This window comes from Homo sapiens, chromosome 11, assembly GCF_000001405.40.
Source record: "Homo sapiens chromosome 11, GRCh38.p14 Primary Assembly".
NCBI lineage: Eukaryota > Metazoa > Chordata > Mammalia > Primates > Hominidae > Homo > Homo sapiens.
This window is the reverse complement of record NC_000011.10, coordinates 84,512,698-84,536,357: the sequence shown is the minus strand read 5'-3', so window position 1 is coordinate 84,536,357 and position 23,660 is coordinate 84,512,698. Positions and strand designations below refer to the sequence as shown.

Genomic DNA, 23,660 nt, shown 5'->3' with positions numbered 1-23,660 from the left:
GGAGAGGCTGATGATAACTGAAAGAGGATTCAGACTGCAATGATCTGGATAGGGTCTTGGCGCTTATGCCCGTCAGTTAAGGTGACTCTTGACAAGTACCTTAACTTCTTGGAGTGTTAGTTTTCTCATAGGTAAAATGGCCAAGAATGATTGCAATGGAACAAGTTTGTGAGAGTTCTTTGGAAACTGCAGTTATGGCATTGTTATTTTTGTTGAGAGAGATATTACTTGGGACATTGAAGAAAGCCTACCTTGCCCCAGAAAGTATAAGTGTAAGTATTGATAATCTGCTTCTGAGGAAGAGTGAACAACAGATTGAATTACCATCCCTGGAGTGGTTCTTGTTACTTTTCCACTATGAGTCAGTCTGAGAGCTGATGTCCTAGAAGTTTTATATATATATGTATATGAAAAAATTAACCATTGATGATAACAATAATGGGACACTGGGAAGAAGTTAGACATCACAATTAAGCCTGTGATGGTGTTATGACAATGTTTAGATCCCTGTTCCCAATATCCCTGTGTTATGCACAAGGAACATAGGCAAAGTAAAGCAAACTAACACTTTATTATCTGATTAAGAGGTCAGATGTAGAGGGTTCCCTTTCTTCTTTCCCAGGTAGGACAACAGCCTTGAACAATGGAACTCTAAAGGGACAGATCCAAGGGAAAAGGGGTACAAACTAGAAAAAGACACAGAAATAGGATGGAGACCCAGGCTGAGGCCAAAAATGGAGATAGACCCCAAGAAGAGGGCTGAGTTCCCTCAGAGCATTCCTAACCCTGAACCTTTTTTTTTCTCTGCCAACTTCCTTATATCTGTTTGGAAGACTCAAACAATAATCTTTACTGGTACAGTCATGTGTAAGCAAGATGGTTAAGAAAAGAGGAAAAGGGAACAAGAGAGAAGAAGTATTTACCTCTGTCCCCTCAGGGAGCCATACAATATAGGCAGATAACTTGCCTTGATTTTTAAAGTTCTTTAAAAGAGCTAGCTCTGCTTCTAAAAATTGTGATCTTTTGTCCTGGAATCTGACTAACCCAAATCAATACTCCTTCTCCTAGCGGGTGAAGTAAAGAAAGATAAGCTTGTCTTCTCTTTGAGTCTAATACAAATAATGTGGGTGACAAAATTTTTTCCTCATTTCAAAAGGAACTTAAATCACTCACAAATTCTGAAGGAAAATTAAGTTTTCTAAATGGGATATATTGGAATTCTGTTTTCTTCTTGCTCAGTACTTTTTTTCTTCTCCATCCATAACCTAGAATTTTTAACACATACTTAGCTACTCTGGTCAGGAGGGTTACCTCCTCACTTACTTGAATAAAGTAAATGTTCTGTCTCATTTGTTATCACCTTTCTGTAGCTCATAAACAAAGAGAGTATATTATCAGGCAGAAACAAGTCTGGACATTGGTCAATATTCGTGGTTAACTCAGTTCTGCTTGCATTTGACCTGGTCTATGGTGACCGCCAGAAGAGTCTGCAGCAAAGCCCATTTGGTGAAGTCAACAGTAGGTGCACACTGTGTCCTATTGATGAAGTTAGAATATGAAGTTCAGTCTATATCCTTTACAAACACTGATATATACATACTTGTCCTTTCTTTTCTTTTCTCCTAGAAGTATCGATATCAAGATGAGGACGCTCCACATGATCATTCCTTACCTCGACTAACCCACGAAGTAAGAGGCCCAGAACTCGTGCATGTATCAGAAAAGAACCTCTCTCAAATAGAAAATGTCCATGGATATGTCTTGCAGTCTCATATTTCTCCTCTGAAGGTCAGTTATATTGCTCTTCCGACTTTATAGTTGGTGACAGTAGTTGGTCTTAATTGCTAATGGAGATGTTTGCTGGCCCGATTAAATGAGGCTCTTTTAAAACATGATAGAGGACACGGGTTGCCAAAGGGTCTTTCTTGTGCATTGGAGGCCCACCTTGTATTTTTGGGACATATTTTTATTGCAATTGTTTGAATATCTGGAAAAATCATTTTAGTTGCTGAGAATGGAGTAAAGAAAGCGCCAAGAGTGAAACACTGAAAGGGAAAATAAGCTAACCACATATTTTTAAACCCCAAGTACATCAAGGTTTTGCTCAGATGCTCTCTGTTTGTCAGTACTCGTGGTCCAACAAAGGGAACAAATATAACATGATCACATCTAATGATTGCTTTACTGTCTAAACTATAAAGGAAAATGTGTGAATTGTCTAATCAATTCCTCTATTTTATCCTAGAGAAAATTGTTTACTAGATTTATTTCAATTCATTGTCATACTTTTCCCAACACTTTCTACTTTTTAAAATTTAATTTTAAACAATTGCTTGATAAATTATATTTCGACAAGAAGAAGGTATAATTAAATGAGAAAAATACTTTTCTATGCCCCTTGGCTGTGCAAATTACTCTGATTTTTTTTTTTTTTTTTTTTTTTTTTTTTTTTGGCTGAACTGGCGCTACTGGATTTTGTGTTTGGGATAAAAAGCTTATAAAGGTTGATTAAAGTTTAAAAAGAAAAAATCAGAATATGGCTGAAATAACAGAATTGAAATGGAAAAAATAAAAGCACCTACCAATTAACTCCTTAGTAATTATTGCTAAACAAAAATTTCTTTCATCACCGAGAACATTCATTTTGCCAGCACTTCTACACAGCTGTGCTACAATAAAAAATAAAGACATAAAAGTGTCTCCCGTGTTCTCTGGATCTTATTATACCTGCAAAAACATCTAAGAGAGGTTAACTTATGCTTAACCTTACGTTTCAAATTTTGGAACATTTCAAACATATTGGTATGCTAAAAATGTATTAGCAAATAAATTAGCTATAGCTACTACCAATACATAAAAATATTAGACCAATTATCAAATTCCAGTAAATATTATATAGTAACTAAAAATATGTAAATATTAATATTATGCTTCTGGGATTCATTGTGCAAATCTCCGCAATTTCTTTGCAAGTATTTGGATGACTGGTGGAAATGAGTATGTTTAACCTGGAGAAGAAAAGATTAAGAATTGGGGGACATGGGACTAAACCTTTTTTACCTCCAGAGCTGTCATCTGAAAAACACGACATCGATGTCATGCGGAAGGCAGAAGCAGATCCACTGTGCATAACTGACAGGAATGTATATTATATTTGGGAACATTTTAACACCACAGCTCCTGACATTTATAGCTACTCAGAAAAATTATAGACTACTTCATGAGACAGAAGTTCCCTATCCCTAGAAATCTTTCAGCAATGGATAATGACTCGTCAGAGGTTTTGTAGAAAAGACTCCTTCTTCCGCAGAAGGGTAAACAAAATTGTCTTTAAGGTCCTGTTTAGGAATCAGAATTCTGTGTTCAGTATAGAATCTTGCTGATTCCTAGAGTTAGACAGTACTCTTTAATATTTTCTAACAATTGCTGATCCTTACTCTGTTTACAAACCACTGAAAATTGAGAAAGGGCAGGGCCGAGAGACTGAACTGCATTGAAGGTACTTACATTTCAGTTTTATTCTTTCAAACTGGTTGAAAAACTCCCTATAAGAACCTCCATAGATCAAGCACAGTGGCCCGCACCTGTAGTCTCAGCATTTTGGGAAGCTGAGGTGGGAGGACCGCTGATCCCAGGACTTCAAGACCAGCCTGGGTAACAAGGCAAGACCTTGTCTCTGCAAAAAATTTAACAAATTAGCCAAGCGAGGTGGCATGCAAGTGTAGTTGCAGGTATGGAGGAGTCTGAGGTGAGAGGATCATTTGAGCCCAGGAAGTTGAGGCTGGAGTAAGCCATGATCACGCCACTGCACTACAGCCTGGGCAACAAAGTGAGACCCTGTCCATGCCACAACCCCCAACACACAGATACACAAAATTCGCCACCTTTCTCCCTTCCCAACCTTTCCTCCTTAATCACCTCTAGAGCATACCTCCCAAAGAACTTTAGGCTAAGTAGGTAGGATAATCAAGGCTAGCATTTTATATCCTTCTACTAGAATTGATAATATGGTGATTATTAGTATTATATTTAAGTCAACTAATAATGATAGATGAAATATTTGAAATAAGTGCATCTTTTGTCTTATGAGTAGGATCATGCCTGAAAGTAGTGAGATTCCTTGTGTTACTTCTGGGATTCAAAAATGGAATAGGGAGAGTCCAAATTTTATAATTAGTGCTATTATAATTATGAGGGATGCTAGCCCGGTTACAGTAAAAAAAAAAAAAAAAAAAAAAAATGAACAGAACAATGAAAGCACCATGGGAGCTTTGTTTTGTATATTAAGTCTTCAGCATATACATGATAATATAATTATCTGAACATCTGCTGTTTTGGTGATTGCACCATCATTTATTATGCTACTCACTGTCTCATTTGGAAAATGTATATCAGAGTTGAGGGGAAAGTATGCTTTTTCTAAAGCTCAGATCTCATATAAACAAAGGAATTTTTCCTATTTTTCCTTTATCCTTTGCCTTCCAGGAATCTTAAAATTAACTGTATTCAACTTCAATGGGTTTCTCTTAGCCTAGATTTTCTGTTATATTTATGTCACTTCTAACTAATTTCCTAGCCTTTTATTGAGGGCACCTCATGTCAGTTTTAAGAACAGCCAACTATGAATAGCAGGCCCCTGGGATAAAACACCATGGTCCTAATAGATTTTTCTCCTTTTTGGAACCACCAGTTCTGTGGTATGGCCCCAAGGTATTGTGAAGAGGAGGGAAAGGGAAGCTCATCAAGGATTTCTACACTGGGGCTGTGAGGTAGCTATTTTGGGACCAGGATTTTTTTCATCATGACCTTCTCGAGGTGTTGTTTATGCTAAACAAGATGTGTTTGAGTTTTTATTTATTTATTTATTTATCTTAAACTTGTATTATAGGTACAGTGGTACATGTGCAGGTTTGTTATATAGGTAAACTGCATATCATGGAGGTTTGGTGTGCAGATTATTTCATCACTAGGTAATAAGCATAGTATCAAATAGGTAGTTTTTCAATCCTCACCCTCCTTCCACCCATCATTTTCAAGTAGGTCTCAGTGTCTGTTGTTCCCTTGTTTGTATCCATATGTACTCATTGTTTAGGTCCCACCTGTAAGTGAGAATATGCAGTATTTGGTTTTCTGTTCCTGTGTTAGTATGCTTAGGATAATGGCCTTCGGCTCCATCTATGTTACTGCAAAGAATATGATCTCATTCTTTATCCTTTACTTTCTTTTTTTTCTTTTCTTTTTTGAAACGAAGTTTCCCTCTGTCACCCAGGCTGGAGTGCAGTGGCACAATCTTGGCTCCCTGCAACCTCTACCTCCCAGGTTCAAGTGATTCTCCTGCCTCAGCCTCCTGAGTAGCTGGGACTACAGATCTCCTGACCTCGTGATCCTCCCGCCTTGGCCTCCCGAAGTTTTTATGGCTGTGCAGTATTTTGTAGTGTATATGTACCACATTTTCCTGAACCCAGCTACTGTTGATGGGCATTTAGGTTGATTCCTTGCCTTTGCTATTGTGAATAGTGCTGCAAGGAACATACCTTTGCGTGTGTCTTAACGGCAGAACAATTTATATTCCTTTGAGTATATGTCCAATAATGAGATTGCTTGGTCGAATGACAGTTCTGTTTTAAGTTATTTGAGAAATTGTCAAACTGCTTTCCACAATAGCTGAAATAATGGTATTCCTACCAGCACTGTATAAGCATTCCCTTTTCACTGCAACCTCACCAACATCTGTTATTTTTTGACGTTTTATAAAAGCCATTCTAACTGGTGTAAGACGGTATCTCTTTGTGGTTTTGATTTGCATTACTCAAATGATTAGTGATGTTGAACATTTTTTCATATGCTTCTTGGCTGCATATATATCTTCTTTTGAAAAGTGTCTGCTCATGTCCTTTTCCCACTTTTTTTAAAGGATTGTTTTTTGGCTTGTTAATGGATTCTGAATATTAGACCCTTATTGGATGCATAGTTTGCAAAAATTTTCTCCAATTCTGTAGGTTGTCTATTTACTCTGTTGATAGTTTCTTTTGTTGTGTAGAAGCTCTTAAGTTTAATTAGGTCCCGTTTGTCAAATTTTGTTTTTGTCAGAATTGTGTTTGACATCTTCATCATGAAATCTTTACCAGGTTCTTTCCAGAATAGTATTTCCTAAGTTATCTTTCTGGGTGTTTATAGTTTTAGGTTTTGTATTTAAGTCTTTAATCCATCTTGAGTTGATTTTTTTGTACGTGGTATAAGGAAGGGGTTCAGTTTCAATCTTCTGTATGTGACTAGCCAGTTGTCCCAGCACCATTTATTGACTAGGGAGTCCTTTCCCCATTGCCGGTTTTTTTCCACTTTATTGAAGATCAGATAATCGTCGGTGTGCAGCATTATTGCTGGGCTCTCTGTTCTGTTCCCTTGGTCTTTGTGTCTGTTTTTCTACCAGTATTAGGCTGTTTTGGTTACTATAGCCCTGTAGTACAGTTTGAAGTCCAAGAATGTGATACTCACAGCTTTGATATTTTTGCTTAGGATTGCCTTGGCTCTTTGGGCTCTGTTTTGGTTCTATGTGAATTTTAATTGTTCTTCTCTAATTCTTTGAAGAATGTCATTGGCAGTTTGATAGGAATAGCACTGACTGTGTAAATTGCTTTAGGGAGTATGGCCATTTTAACAATGTTGATTCTTCCTATCCATGAGCACAGAATGTTTTCAATTTGTTTGAATCATCTTGGATTTCCTTGAGCAATTTTTTTGTCATCCGTGTTGTAGAGATCTTTTACCTCCATGGTTAGCTGTATTCATAGGTATTTTATTCTTTTTGTGGCTATTGTAAATGAGATTGAGTTCTCGATTTTGCTCTCAGCTTGGATGTTGTTGGTAGATAGGAATACTTCTGCTTTTGGACACTGGTTTTGTATCCTGAAACTTTGCTGAAGTTGTTTATCAGATCATGGAGCTTTTGGGTAGAGACTAAGGGGTTTTCTAGGTATAGCATCATATCATCTGCAAGCAGGAATAGTTTGATCCCTTCTCTTCCTATTTGGATGCCTTTTACCTCTTTCTCTTGCCTGATTGCTTTGTCTAGGATTTCCAGGACTGTGTTGAAAAGGAATGGTGATAGAGGGCATCCTTGTCTTGTTCTGGTTTTCAAGGGGAATGCTTCCAACTTTTGTCCATTCAGTATGATCTGGGATTTTATAGCTCAAGATATGCTTTTAGATTGTCTTAGTAAAGACACTCTGTGTATCTCTCCTTCAACACCAATAGTAATAGGAATAAATGTGTACCATTTTTCTAGGGGAAAAAAAAAGTCCGTTTTAAGGTTGGCCAATTTTGTGATGTAAATATTCCCAGCCTGGCTGATTTCAGGCTACCAACCTAAAGCTACTTTTTAAATATGTGGAAATGGAGGCACATGAGGCTCTCATGAGCTAGTACGAGTGAGCTCCAGCACAGTACTGTGATATCAGATTCAAGCACTAGCATTTTTATAGCAATAGGATACATTTCCTAATCAAGTTGTTATTATCACAGTTCAACTGTTGAAAAACTTGCAATGATTAAAATCTAATGGGTTATTTTCTCATAAAGGAAGCCTGTTAGAATCAGGGAACTGCTAAAAAGGTACAAGGTCTCCATTAGAACTGTCATATTTTCAACTTCTTTGCCTTCTTTTATCTGTCTGGTATTCTTGGGTCAAACACTAAAAGGAAGAAAAGGAGGCAAAACACATAATCAGATGCTTCCCCCAGAATCCTACTGAGAAAACAATGTGACTCTAGTATTAATGGAGAATTTACATATGGCATGCCTAAACAGAGTGTGAGATTGCTGGATAACAGTTTAAATGTCACATTGAGTGGGCTCTGAATCATTAGCTGAATAATCTCACTGTCACAGGTTTGAGTATCATTTTCTCCATCGTCGTGTATTACTTGAAGCCTTGGTTCTAAGATTCATCTGTCTTTGGTGCACACCAGCTGCCTAAGTGATAGGATGGGCTTTCTTAGCCTGTTTTCATTAGAGTGCTTTGGCCAGTGTGAAGTGTGGGATTGGAAAGAGAAATGCAATTTAGTGGTGAATTCAAGGGAATTTGTTTTCCTTTCCTCAAGGTGGGGATGCATTCTCTTCAGATGCTACCTAGAATCTTTCATAAAAGAAATTGGCCTATAATAAACCACAAGAATTTTCTTTTCAGTTTAGGTCTTCTCACTTTAGGTCAGTTCAATAAATATTAACTGAGTGCCTACTATAGCACTAAGTAATGGGGAAACAAAGAGCAGTGAAATGATTTTCAGTACCTAGATTATTCTCTTGATTCATAATTAATTATTTGTTACTTATTATTATTCCGAAACTGAAATTTGAACTCCTCAAACTTAAAACTATGGGGCCCAAGCACCTACCAGAGTGCCCTGTAGGAGTATTTATTAGCGAGAGAGAGAGAGAGAGAGAGAGAGAGAGAGAGAGAGAGAGAAAGGGAGGGAGTTAACTGCTGTCCTCTTCTTCCTTACCTAATCATCACTTATACAAAATTTCATAAATTCTAAACTTCATATTTTATCACATATTAACATATCTGAAATCTGGATGTGTCTTAAGATCAATGGCATCTTGCAGTTAAAATTGGCAGTATTTCCTAGGGTGTATTAAAAAAGAAATGTGTCTTGCAGTCAAAACCGGCTTAGATTCTTAGGTTCAGTAACTAATTACAAGGAAGATTAAAGCCTCCTTTTATAAATTGGTGTGAATTACTTTAATCAGATAAATATTATTGTGTGTCTTCGAATTTTCACAGGGACTGGAATAAACAGTTCTGGGAAGCTTTGCTGGAAATTAGGAGTATGTGAGGTTTGGGTAAACTTCAATACCCTGAGACAACTGGGCACTTGTTGAGTATATATAGAAGACATTTGAGAATCTGTAGGCAATGCACATTTGAGAAATTATAGGAGGAGAGCTGAAGCATGAAGAAGCCAATAAAAAAACTATAGACAAAGGATAACAATGTGTATTTTTATACTATTTTCTTACTAGAGTTGCCAGAGCACAATCATAGGAAAGTATGTTTTAGCCAAAAGTACAATAAAAACCCTCTTCCTACATAAAGCCTTTCCTGTTAACTCTTGGCCAACCCCGACTGGTCATAAGATCCTATGGCACAAGGAGTTAGTGCATCCCACATAGTCATCATTTTAAAATATGCCTTATTCTATTGTTCTAAAAATTATTTGTTGAACTATACAGTAGTCCCCACTTATCTGTGGGGGATGCATTTTAAGACCCCCAGTGGGGCCGGGAGCGGTGGCTCACGCCTGTAATCCCAGCACTTTGGGAGGCCGAGGCGGGTGGATCATGAGGTCAGGAGATCGAGATCATCCCGGCTAAAACGGTGAAACCCCGTCTCTACTAAAAATACAAAAAATTAGCCGGGCGTGGTGGCGGATGCCTGTAGTCCCAGCTACTCGGGAGGCTGAGGCAGGAGAATGGCGTGAACCCGGGAGGCGGAGCTTGCAGTGAGCCGAGATTGCGCCACTGCACTCCAGCCTGGGCGACAGAGCAAGACTCCGTCTCAAAAAAAAAAAAAAAAAAAAACACCCCCAGTGGATGCATGAAACTGCAGATAGTACCAAATCCTATTTATACTATGTTTTTTCTTATGTTTTCATAAGTATGTTATCACATAATTAAATTTATAAATTAGGCTCAGTAAGGGATTAACCACAATAACTAATAAAATATAATTATAACAATATACTTTAATAAAAGTTATGTGAATGTGCTCTCTCTCTGTCTCTCAAAATATCTTGTAGTGTACTCACCTGTTTTCAGGTCATAGTTGACCTCTGGTAGCTGAAACTGCATGAAAAGTGCAACCTAAGATCAGGAAGGACTGCTATATAATGTTCTTTCCTCTAGGTTTGCTGTTTTTCTTGCTCTTAGTAAATGTGTAAGCTCCCAAGACCTGGACTGCATCTTATTTTTGTTTTGTTTTGCTTTTCATTTTACTCCCTTATTGGAATCTAAAATGAAACTAGACTAGCATCTCCCAAAGTATGTTTGGTGGAATTTTGTCAGCATTATTAAAATAAAGGTATGAATGAGTGCTTAAACACATTTGAGGAGTTAAATCCATTAACTTATTGAAGGATTTCTCAGAGCCTTTACTATAATAATATGAAATATAAACATCTAAGATGGAAATATGATTAGTACAAAGTATTTCCCAGACATATTTTGTCATAGAATTATTTCTTTAATATAAAATTATATTTTGGTTGGGCACATATACTTTTGGAGCGTACAATAAAGAAAGTGTGAAAGAAGAGGTCTCTCAAGACGTAGAAAAACTGTTTAATTTTTTGGAGCTGGAGAGGTTAGGATGGGTGTTGTCAGAGAAAAAAAATTATACACGAGATCATTTTTTACTTGAAGGAAGTATGAAATAAGGGAGAAAAGTCAAGGTTGCCCTATACTCTAGCAGTTGTGTAACAGTATGGAAAAGTTCTGAGAATTGCCAAGTAGTTGGCTAGGATACTGACGCATAATGTAAGAATTAAGGAAAGGGGCATAGAGTGGGCCCAAACATCCCATAAAGCAAGAGAGATGGGCATGAACAGGTAATGAAGGACCTTATGTAGAGACTGGACTTCACCTTGTAGGTAATGAGGGGTGACTACAGAATTTTTAAAAAGGAGAATGACATGACCTGATATGCAAATTAGACCGTTATTCATGTCATGTGGTACAGTGGAAGGAATAATTGGAAAGGTATGACATCAGATTCAAGAGCATCAGGTGAAATGTAAAAGATAGATAAGCTTTGATGTAAAGCAGAGGTATTGGGGTTGAAGGGAAGGATAGATTAGAAGGCTTATTTAAAAAGAGATATCATCAGGACATTGAGACATATTACATATAGAAGGTAGAAAAGAGAGAGAAATAGAAGATAATTTACAATTTTTAAAATTTGACCCCAGAGTAGAGGATGTATCATGAAATGAAACCAAGAATGCCAGAGGAAGAGCAGATTTTAGAATGGCAGGGGAGGGAGTGGGATAATTTCTGAGTTTATGTTGGAGTAACTGATTTTGAAGTATTTATGTTATACCCAGGTAGAAGTGTTTAACAGTCAGTTTGAAATAAAGATCTGATCTAGAAAATGGAAACTTTGACGTTTTCAGTGTAGTTGGAGTTGTGAAAATGGATGGGATTGCTCAGGAGAGGGGAGAAGAACACAGAGGACTGAAACACAGGTCCACCACCACCATATATGGGCTTTGGGGAGAGAGAGGTACCTACCGAGGATAACATGAAGCAGTGAGAAATTTACCACAACATTTAGCCCTTAGTAGCTTGGAGCTTCTATTTTCATAACTAAGTTATGAACTTCTACTAAAAGGGAGTCATGTCTTTTAAATACAGAAATTTGTAGTTCCTCTACAATGCCTAAGATGGTGTTGACCAAATAGCAGATGTTTTAAAATACGTATTTGATTAATTTAAAAAAAAAAAAAAAAGAAATACCCTATGAGTTACATTTGACCCCAACAGTCATGAGGCCCTGACCAGCAACTGAAAATAATGTGTTTATTTTTCCTTTCTAGACATAATGTTTTTAATAATACCACTGATTAGAAAACTATTCTGATTCTTGATATTTTAGGCAATAATCTTTAAAAGTGTAAAATCCTTTCATTTCTATCTCTTGCCACTAGATGGTGGAAGTAGCTGAGATGATCATCCTGGAAGCATCTAGTCTTGAGGAAGAAACAGATTTGTGAAGCTAAATTAGAAGCTCTTAGTTAATAAAAACATAAAGGTTTGGCAGAGATTTGTGACTTGTGCACAGCACATTGTGTTCCAGGACTAGTCCCTGGTGAGAGGAAATGGTTGAAATATGGCCTTGACAGACGCATTCTGAATGTAGGCACAAAATCTCCTGATCGAAATTCCATGCAAATAAAGCATTCCTTTCCTCAATTATCTTTAACTGGAAAGGGTACAAACAGCATACCCCCAATAATTCTGGCTATTTAGGCCAGATATTGAAAAGCGGGAAGAAAGGAATGTTAGGCATAGGACTGAACCAGCATCTCAAAATATAAGAATTCTTTTTAGAACCAAAGTCATCAAGGGTTAAGGCAAGCTTGTCTAACCTGCAGTGATGGGCCACCTGTGACTCAGGACAGCTTTGAATGGACCCAGCACAGATTCGTAAACTTTCTTAAAGCATTATGATATTTTTTGCAGTTTTTTTTTAAGCTCCTCAGCTATCATTAGAGTTAGTGTATTTTATGTGTGGCCCAAGACAATTCTTCTTCTTCCAATGTGGCCCAAGGAAGCCAAAAGACTGGACACCCATGGAAGGGGTTCTCTCTATGGGTTTTGAAAGATGAGTTTGTGTGATGAAATTCAAATTTTCTACTTCTTTTATGTACATAGTATTAATAACAATAATGATGATGAATTTTTTCTAAGAAATATTAGGTTATTAAAATCATAATAAGTTTTAAAAATAAGTGTTTATAGAAAATTCTAGATAAGTGTTAATAGTGATTATATGTAGCTGCAGATATTTCTAGAGTTAACCCAGTTACACAGAAATTTTTCTCAAAACTAAGATTTCACTATTGCCAAAACTTTCTGTAACAATTAGAAATAATGTACTAACACTCACAGAGGCTGCTCATCAATATAAGGCACTTATTGTTACTGTGGTTAAAGATGATATTGTTAGTGGTACCCTAAAATGATACGTAACTTCTACATCCCTCCCATATTTCTAAACAGTCTGGAATTGTAACCTTTTGGTGAGCATGTTTTCAATTCTTTTTTCTTAGCAAAGATAATCGGAAATTTTTCCAAACTCTGCAAAAATTAATTCTGAGACTGTTAGTGCTGTTGAATTTTTAACTCTTTCCCAGCTAATCCAGAAAAGTAATAGCATATAGTGGAAAGCAGATGGGCTTTAGAATCAGACTTACTTGTGTTTACAATGTAGCTTAGTTGCTTTCTAGCTGTGTCTATTAGTAAATCTATTAACTTCTAACCTCTTGGAAATAATAGTATGGAATTCACATTCCATGCTGTAAAGATTACTTGAGATAATACGTGGAAAGTCTGTAGTACTTGGCGCCTAGTAGTTGCTCAGTAAATGGTAATTATTTCACATTAAAAAAATAGAAAGTGTGTATGTATCTAAGAACAAATCTAAATTTAAGATTAGTTAACTCTTTGAGCTCTCAGTAATGATTGGAAATTGTTAAATCCTCATCCTTGATGTCCTTCAGAGAATAGTTTTACACTGTAGAACATTCCTATCTCAGCTAAGTAAGGGTGTGTTATTCAAATTATTATCTCTTCTGCAAAAGTGAATGTCATGTTGGTTAGCTCAAATTGTAGCAAATGAGTTGGGGACATTTTGAGTGGTCCAAACAAGAATTTACTAAAGCATAAAGAAATGGCTTTCTTTTGAGGCTAGTGATGGAAGATATTGGAACATATGCATAACCTTTAAAGATAATCAGGATGTGCAAGGATCATTTAGTGGACAGAAGCTATACAGCAAAACACTTATTTCATCTTGTTTAATAAGTATAAAAATAGTCCAGAAGGCAATTTTTAAATGCGTCTATTGGTATATACAAAGGAAACTTATGTAATCTTATATAAGACAGAATGTTGTACAAGAAAACATGGTAGAGAAGGTTGAATTGATTTTCTCCAACTCAGAGAGGAATTGCCAGTGTCTAGCAATCAGATTTAATCCTAATGCAGCTCCCAGGATACATTCTTCCAGTCCAGCTGACTCACCAAAGTCACTCTGAAGGCAGATGATTTGTTCCTTCTGAATTGGCAGAACACTGAGTATGTTAGAGTTTGTGGCCAATTTTGGGTCACAGGTAAGTTCATTTAAAATGCATTCAAGAGACAGTTACTGAAGTTCCTTTACATAGAACAGAACAACTCCCCACCTCCCACCTTGACCTTAAGGCCCATTAAGCAATAGGGCACATACAGAAGTAATGAGACAAAGTTAACTTGAAATTACAGTAATTGAAGTTACTCTAGACTGGTGTTCCAGAGATTTTCTGGTTTCAGGACTGGTGCTTTAGAGATTTTCTAGTTTCACTGCTTCATATTACATGTGAATAAATTTTTTCTTTTCTTTTCTTTTTTTTTTTTTGTTTGTTCGTTTTTGAGACAGAGTCTCGCTCTGTCGCCCAGGCTGGAGTGCAGTGGCATGATCTCTGCTCACTGCAGTCTCTGCCTCCTGGATTCAAGTGATTCGCCTGCTTCAGCTTCCCAAGTAGCTGGGACTACAGGCATGTGCCACCACGCCCAACTCATTTTTGTATTTTTAGTAGAGACTAGAGACGGGGTTTCATCATGTTGGCCAGGCTGGTCTTGAACTCCTGACCTCAGGTGATCTGCCCACCTTGGCCTCCCAAAGTGCTGGGATTGCAGGCTTGAGCCACCATGCCCAGCCCAAAGAAATTTAATTTAAAAACTTGTTTCTGATGGTAGTTTATTTTCTCAGTGGACTATAAGACATATTACCTGCTTTTAATTATAAACAAGCAATTTAAAACTATTTGAAATATCATTTCCAAAAGTAGGTTTTACTTCTCTTATAAACAATTAAAGCTGAGCTGCCGCTACTCATTCAACATATTTATATGAATTAGAAAATGGAGCCCCTTCTCATACAAGATGATACCTTGCTTTAGTTTAGATAATGCGCTGCACAGACCCAGGCAAGAGGCTTTTAAGTTCAGCAATAAATTCCTTAAATAATCAGATAACGCAATATCCAATAGGAAGCCTCATAGAATCACTAGACTTACATCTCAGCAGAGGCATTAGGAATAACATATTGTAATTACTTAATTTTACAAATAAAGCAACTAAGAATCACAGCTGTTATGAGACTTTCCCAAGGCAGCCACCTAGCTAACACTATAGCTGAGACAGGAATCCGGGTCTTGGATTCCTAGACCTGAGTTTATGTCTCTGTTTCCCAAGAAAAGTAAACAACAGGTGTTCTCAACTCAGCAGATCACAGAGGTTCACTTATTTCAATTTCTAGGGGATGTTATTGAAAATTGTTATCACTGAGTTATTATTTGTTTATGCCAATTTTCAGCTTTAGTAAAGGGCCAAATCTAGGTTGTTGACGCTAGACCAACCTCTCTCTTCATCCCAAATCTCTCCAACTAAACTGTGTGCATCAGATTGATTCAGTAAAAATAAGTCTCATCATTATTTAACTCTTCTGTCCATTTGTGTACTTGTGTAAATTCTGATGAGATAGTTTTGTAAAAAGAAAATGTAAATGATTTACATCTCAAAGACTAATGTACATCGTAGCAATGCTATTATTTCTCTATGGGATGCTTTCCCAGAGCTGCAGGGCAGTGTGTGGGATAAGAGCTAGGCATGGCATCAGAAATGTGCCATTTGAGAATTCACTGAATGCTCCTAAACCTAATTTCCACATTTATATACTGATGATAATAGAAGCACATTGTGGGAAGTAATTAAGATTAAGGAGGTTATCCTTTGTTGGCTTGAATTTTACCATCTACGCTTAAAGAACCCCTTCTTCCACACTCAAATTCCTGTGTGGCTACCTCCACCTCAACTTCTATTTCCCTAGTCCCTATTTTCCATTCCACCCTCTTTTTCTCATTCCCACTTTCTAGAATGGTCAATGGAAAAGTAAGAGAAACACATGATAAAGAAAAAGGAGCTGGGCAGTGAGGGTTGGGTGGTGGGTGGGGGCGCAGAGGGGAATGTCAGCACACATTTAGTTCAAGGAGTTGTCAGTATGTGGGACTTCCAAACAACCAATGTAATTTTAGGCTACATTAATGGAGTTGCATGCCAAGAACAAAGAGATGACAATTCTACACTATGCTAGAATGTATCATTAGGATCTGAGGACCATATTTCAGAGAGAATGGCAGCAGATTGGGGTGCTTCCAGAGAGGGGTAAATAGGCTGGCAAGGCTATTAAAACCATGTCAAATGGGAACATCAAAGGCTATGAGTGATGTGGTCCTTGGAGAATAGACTCAGCTCACAATGACATGGTAGTTCATCTTTAAATTGTTTAAAACAAAGAACTTGTCCATACAATTTTTGTAGACATCAAGACCTTTAGAGTAAACAATGAAAGAAAAACAGAGTTTATGTAAGTTAAAAAATTTTTGTTTTAAATAACTTGGTCCAAAGAGAGAATGACCTGCCTCATAAGGTAGTGAGCTTCCTGTCATTGGAGGTATTCAAGCAAAAGGTAGAAAATCTTCAATGAGATATTGTAGAGATGATTCAGGAAAGAGAATGTTGAATAGTATTTTCAACCTTTTTCCACACATAAATTACTTTGAGAAATTGATTTGAAAAACTATGACCCCTTTCCCTAGATAAAAACTATACCCACAAAACTATACCCACAAAAATATTGCATAAAACTTCAGAAATGATATGAATTACTTGAAGGGCATCTATGGACTTCCTATGGAACATAGACTTAAGGTTAGGAATTTCTGGATGGAATGAATTTCAAGTTTTCTTTCATTTCTGAGAAACTATGATTCCTATTTTTCTGTCCCACAGTTACTGGCTGGTTAAGGAATGCTTGTCCTTGAGAATAAATCTTTTGTAAATTTTGGAAAAAATAGGAGGAGGCCTCCCAATCTATTGTGTCTGTGAGGCCTGCCCAATTCCACAGCAGCCCTCAGCAGGAAAGATCAACAGGTTCCCCTAGATGAGAAGGATTTTAGGGTACATTTGCTTCAGGAGGGTTCTCTAAATGCAGAACTGCTTCTGATTCCATTCTCCTCAGTATTTTTGATGTATTCTTACAAGGCAGTTTTCTGTTTATTAGTTAGTGCCATAAGCTTTCACCATCTATTCAAGCCAAGAGCAATAATATCTTGTCTCTTTGAATTTGGGTTTTAACTGTCATAAGGCTGTTTTCTTTATGCTTGATGGAAGTTGCATTCTAGCAAAGAACTGATTTCAAATTGCCCCATCAACTTGCTAAAATGATGATACACTTTCCATAGAATTCTATCACAGGGAGTTTCCAATATGTGGCTAGACTCTTCATAGAAATATCAGTCATAAAATGTGCACTGGGTATTTATTTTTTCATCAGGGTCACAGAAATGCACCTGAACTGAATTCTTCTTCTTGTCTCTGTACCGTTAAGGTATTGACAGGTTCAGAATTGCTGGGTTTGAAATTTTAAGAGTAGCTAACTCATAACATTTCACTTTCTGCTCCAGGGCAGGGTGAGTTGCTTATAAATCAGCCTGCAAATATGATGAATTGGATGTCTCCAACTCAATTAGCTTAATGTGGGTAGGAGGATTTCCAGGCTTTATGGTCTCTGTTTTACTAATCTACTGAGCAGACTGTTATATAAAATGTGTCTGAGTATTAATGTCTGAACCTCAGAGAAATGTGGTTGGTATTTTTCACTTCAGCATCCAATGTCATTCTGTATTTCATAGCTTTGATTTGGATCCAGAGCTACTGAGTGATGGTTCTTAACATGATTTATATTGTTGCACGCCTTAGCTTGTTATCTTTCTGCCTTCTGACCAAGTTTAAAAAGTAGCCTAATAAAATTGCTGCTGTCACTGGGTGATTTAATTGGGGGGAAAAATCTCAGCAATTTAAGGAAAACTGCAAAACTGGAGCTATTCCTCTGTCAAATAAATGATCAAATGAAATGGGCCTCAGCAAAGCAGATGCTGACAGTTTTGAGAGCTTCCGAGGCACGCATCATACTTCAGTTGTGAGATCTGTTAGAGGAATTGATGAGGAAGTTTGTTTGCTTTTTGTTTTCTTAAGGTGAATATATTGGGGCCCTGGGAAATGTTTATATTGAAGAGAACATTTTGGATGTAAATATATTTTGTGTCTAGGTATATCATTCGGCATTTTCTTTATATTAACTGTCTATGAACACTCATTAGCTAAATTATTTTCTATGTATTTTCTTCTTCCCTCTTCTCTTTTTTAGTTTCTCTGTCAATCCCAGCTCTGTCTTGCACGTTGTTAAAAATTTGGTAAAACTCAAAAATCATTCTTCATTGCAAAAAGATCAGTGTGTGATATCTGTAGTAGCCTATTAAACTCTTTGTAGGTTCTGAAACCTTTCCTTAAAAGACTGGGACCAGTTGTTACGTTGGCCACTAATAGTTTTGCTCAGCTGAAGTCTAACTGAAGTTAGACATGTTATTGAATTTTTGTATTTTCAACCCTCGTGAGTGATGATGTCTCTTGAAATTATTTATTCTGAGTAAAATTTTGTATCCTTTGACAACATCTCCACAACTCCTCCTCCCACCAACCACCCCAACTCCTGGTAAACACCTTTCTACTCTCTACTTCTATGAGATCAAATTTTTAGATTTCACATAGGAGTAAGATCATGCTATATTTGTCTTTCTGTGACTGGCTTATTTCACTTAACCAAATGTCTTTCAGGTTCATCCATGTTGTGGCAAATGACAGTATTTCCTTTTTCTTTGTGGCTAAATAGCATTTCGTTATGTACATATACCACATTTTCTTTATCCGTTCATCCATTGATGAACATTTAGGTTGATTCCATATTTTGGCTATTTTGAATAAGGCTGCAACATACATGGGAGTGCAGCTATATCTTCAACATACTGACTTTATTTACTCTGGCTATATACCCAATAGTTGAATTACTGAATTATATGATATAGTTCTATTTTCAGTTTTTTGAAGAAGCTCTATATACTCTTTTTCATAATGGTTGCATTAATTTATATTCCCATCAACAGTGTGTAAGTGCTCCCTTTTTTCCACATCCTTGCCAGCGTTTATTATCTTTGTCTTTTTGATGATAGCCATTCTAATAAGTGTGAGATGATATCTCATTGTTTTTTTACTTGCATTTCCCTGATGATTAGTGATATTGAAAATATTTTCATATTCTTCTTGGCCATTTGTATGTCTTCTCTTCAGAAATGTCTGTTCAGATCCTCTGCCCATTTTTTAATTTGGTGGTTTTCTTTCCGTTGAGTTATTTGAGTTTCTTATATATTTTGAATATTAATTCCTTAACAGATATATAGTTTGAAAATATTTTCTCTCATTCATGTAGGTTGCCTCTTCCTTGATTATTTCCTTTGCTGTGCTGAAGCTTTTTAGTTTGATGCAGTCCCATTTTTCTATTTTTGCTTTTTTTTCCTGTGCTTTTAGGGCCATATCCCCAAATTATTGCTCAAACCAATGTTGCGAATCTTTTTTTTTTTTTTTAGGATAGAATATTTATTTATTTATTTATTTATTTATTTTTTATTTTTTTACTTTTATCCTTTTTTTTTTTATACTTTAAGTTTTAGGGTACATGCGAATCTTTTCCCCTAGGTTTTCTTCTAGTAGTTTCATAGTTTTAAGTCATGATCACAGTAATAAGTACATGATCAAGACCAGTTGATCATAGCAAATAAACTTTTTAATGTACTGCTGAATTTACATTGCTAATATTATGTTGAGGATTATTGCATCTACGTTCATCAGGAATATTGTTCTGTAGTTTCTTTTTTTCTTTTTTTTATATATCATGTTCTTGTTTGGCTTTGGTATCAGGGTGATGCTGTCCTCATGAAATGAATTTGGAAGTATTATCTCCTCTTCAATTTTTTGGAAGTGTTTGAGAAGAATTGGCATTAATTCTTCAATAAATATATAATAGAATTAGACACTAAAGGCATCAGATTCTGGGCTTTCTTTAATGGAAGACTTTATACTGATTCAATCTCCTTGTTTTTGATCTATTCAGGTTTTCTCTTTCTTCATGGTTTAGTCTTGGTAGGTTGTATGTAGGTAAGAATTTATCCATTCCTTCTAGGTTATCCAATTTGTCCATATATAATAGTTCATAATAGTCTCCTATGATCCTTTGTATTTATATCAGTTATAATATCTTCTTTTTCATGTTTGACTTTATCTGAGTCTTCTGTGTTTTTATTATACTTAGTCTAGCTAAAAGTTTGTCAATTTTATATATTTTTTTCAAAAAACAACTTAGTTTTACTGCTCATTTCCAGTGTTTCTCTAGACTCTATTTTATTTATTTCTACTCTAATCTTTCTATTTCCGTCCTTTTATTAACTTTGGGCTTAGTTTTTTCTTCTTTTCTTGTTCATTGAGGTGTATTAGGTTATTTATTTGAGATCTTTTTTTTTGATGTAGACATTTATTGCTATAAACTTGCCTCTTAAAACCAATTTTGCAGTATTCTGTCGGTTTTTGTATATTGTGCTCTCATTTTCATTTGTCTCAACAGATATTTTAATTTTTATTTTAATTTTTTAATTAACTCATTGTTCAAGAACACGTTTGTTTAATTTTCATGTTTATTTGTGAATTTTCCAAAGTTTCTCCCATTATTGATTTCTAGTTTCATTCCATTGTTGTTGGAAAAGACACTTGATATGATTTTAGTCTTTTAAAATCTTTTATGATTTGTTCTGTACCCTCACACATGATCTATTTTGGAAAATGCTCTATGTGCACTTAAAAAAGATGTATATCCTGCAGCTGTTAGAGAAAATATTCTGTATATGTCTTTTAGGTCCATTTGATCTAGAGTATAGTTTGAGTTCAATGTTCCCGTGCTGATTTTCTGTCTGAATAATCTCTCCATTGTTAAAAGTGGGGTGATAAAGTCTCCTACTATTATTAATTTTAGTCTGGCTCTCCATTCAGATCTATCCATATTTATGTTATATGTTTAGGTGCTTGGATGTCAGATGAATATGTATTTATAATTGTTGTATGTTCTTGCTGAATTGAACCCCTTATCATTATATAATAACCTTTATCTCTTTTTATGATTTTTTTACTTAAAGTCTATTTTATCTGATATATGTGTAATTCTTCCTTTCTTTTGATTTTCATATGCATAAAATATCTTTTTCCATTCCTTCACTTTTAGTCTATGTGTGTTCTTACAATTACTTAAAGTGGGGTTTCGTAGGCTGCATATATTTGGGGTGTGTGTGTGTGTGTGTGTGTGTGTGTGTGTGTGTGTGTATTTAAGTTCATTCAGCCAATCTACGTAATTTGGTTGGATAATTTAATCTATTTATATTTAAGTAATAACTGGTAGATAAGGACTCCTCACTGCCATTGTATGAATTATTTTCTTGTTGTTTTGTAGGTATTTGGTTCCTTTCTTCCTCTCTCGTTGTCTTGCTTTGTGGCTAAGTGATTTCTGCTAGTGGTATGTTTTGATTCCTTATTTTTTAATTTTTTTGTGTGTCTATCATGTTTTTGCTTTCTAATTACCATGAGACTTATTTTAAAATGTTACAGTTATAACAGATCTTTAATTAATTTTTTTATTTTTAGTTTTTCTGGGTACACAGTAGGTGTATATATTTATAAGGTACATGAAATATTTTGGTACAGGCATGCAATGTGTAATAATCACATCATGGAAAATTCAGTATTCATCCCTTCAAGGATTTATCCTTTGTGTTACAAACAGTTAAGCTCTTTTTGTTATTTAGAAATGTACAATTAAATGATCGTTAATTCTAGTACCCCTGATGTGCTGTCAAACAGTATTCTTATTCACTCTAACTATACAACTTTGGCATACTTTAAACATCCCCACCTCTCCTCCTCACCCCCACCCCTGCCCCAACTACCTTTCTCAGGCTTTGGTAATCATTCTCCTACTCCCTAAATCCATGAGTTCAATTGTTATGATTTTTAGATCCCAAAATAAGTGAGAACATGTGATGTTTATCTTTCTGTGCCTGGCTTGAGATTTCAGTTAACATAATGACCTCCAGTTCCAGAATGACCTCTATTGTATATAAGTACTACATTTTCTTTATCCATCCATGTGTTGATGGACACTTAGGTTGCTTCCAAATCTTAGCTATTGTAAACAGTGCTGCAACAATATGGGAGTGCAGATGTTCCTTTGATATACTGATTTCCTTTCTTTTAGGTATATACCCAGGAGTGGGATTGCTAGATCGTGTGGTAGCTGTATTTTTAGTTTTTAAAGGAACTTCCAAACTGCTCTCCATAGTGGTTGTACTAATTTACATTCCCAACAGCAGTTTACAACAGTTTCCTTTTCTCCACATCCCCACCAGCATTCGTTATTACCTGACTTTTGGATAAAAGCCATTTTAACTTGAGTGAGATAATATCTCTTTGTAGTTTTGACTTGCATTTCTCTGATGATCGGTGATGTTGAGCACGTTTCCATAGGCCTGTTTGTCATGTGCATGGCTTCTTTTGAGAAATGTCTATTCGTATATTTTGCCAATTTTTAAATAAGATTATTAGATTTTTTTTCTATAGAGTTGTTTGAGCTCCCTATATATTATGGCTATAATCCCTTGTCAGACAGGTAACTGGCAAATGATTTCTCCCATTTTGTGGTTTATCTCTTCACTTTTTTGATTGTTTCCTTTGCTGTGTTGCTTTTTAACTAGATGTGATTCCCATTTGTGCATTTTTGCTTTGGTTGCTTGTGCTTGAGGGGTATTATTCAAGATTTTTTTTTTTGGGGGGCCTGGACCAATGTCCTGGATGGTTTTTTTCAATGTTTTCTTGTGATGCTTTCATAGTATCAGGTCTTAGATTTAAGTCTTTAGTTCATTTTCATTTGATTTTTGTATGAAGCAAGAGATGGGTCAAGTTTCATTCTTCTGCATATGGATATCCAGTTTTCCCAACACCTTTATTGAAGAAATCCTTTTCCTCAATGTATGTTCTTGGCACCTTTGTCAAAAATGAGTTTACTGTATATGTGTGGATTTGTTTCTGGGTTCTCTGTACTGTTCCATTGGTCTATTTCTCTGTTTTTATGCCAATACCATGCTTTTTTGGTTACAATAGCCCTGTAGTATAATTTGAAGTCGGGTAATGTGATTCCTCCAGTTATTTTTCTTTATACTCAGGATAGTTTTGGCTATTCTGGGTCTTTTGTGATTCTGTTTAAATTTTAGGATTGTCTTTTTTCTATTTCTGTGAAGAATGTCATTGGTATTTTTATAGGAATTTCACTGAATTTGTAGATTGCTTTGGGTAGTATGGACATTTTAACAATATTGGTTCTTCTAATCCATACACATGGAATATTTTTCATTTTTTGTGTCCTCTTCAATTTCTTTTAATTTATTTATTTTATTATTATTTTACTTTAAGTTCTGGGATACATGTGCAGAATGTGCAGGTTTGTGCAGGTATACATGTGCCATGGTGATTTGCTGCACCTGTTAACCTGTAATCTAGGTTTTAAGCCCCGCATGAGTTAGGTATTTGTCCTAATCCTCTCCCTCCCCTAGTCCCCCAACCCCAACAGGCCCCAGTGTGTATTGTTCCCCTCCCTGTGTCCATGTGTTCTCATCATTCAACTCCCACTTATGAGTAGGAACATGAGGTGTTTGGTTTTCTGTTCCTGTGTCAGTTTGCTGAGAATGATGGCTTCCAGCTTTATCCATGTCCCTGCAAAGGACGTGATCTCATTCTTTTTTATGGCTGTGTAGTATTCCATGGTGTATACGTGCCACATTTTCTTTACCCATTATTCTTGGTTGTCTTTTTTTTTTACTCAGCACTTTGCTATATTATCTGATTTTCTCTTG

General features: G+C 36.0%; 1 protein-coding gene across 34 annotated transcripts in view; it reads left to right on the top strand.

Moving 5' to 3' along the window:
• The window catches only part of DLG2 (discs large MAGUK scaffold protein 2), a 2,173,362-nt gene that overhangs the window by 1,092,016 nt on the left and 1,057,686 nt on the right, over positions 1-23,660 (top strand). For 28 of the 34 annotated variants that reach the window (NM_001351274.2, XM_017017256.3, XM_047426494.1 and 25 more), the window contains one exon: positions 1,627-1,788. In NM_001351274.2, coding sequence (NP_001338203.1) covers positions 1,627-1,788 — 162 coding nt within the window. The remainder of the gene's footprint in view (positions 1-1,626; positions 1,789-23,660) is intronic. The other 6 variants (NM_001351275.2, XM_017017257.3, XM_017017280.3 and 3 more) reach the window with 1 other exon arrangement.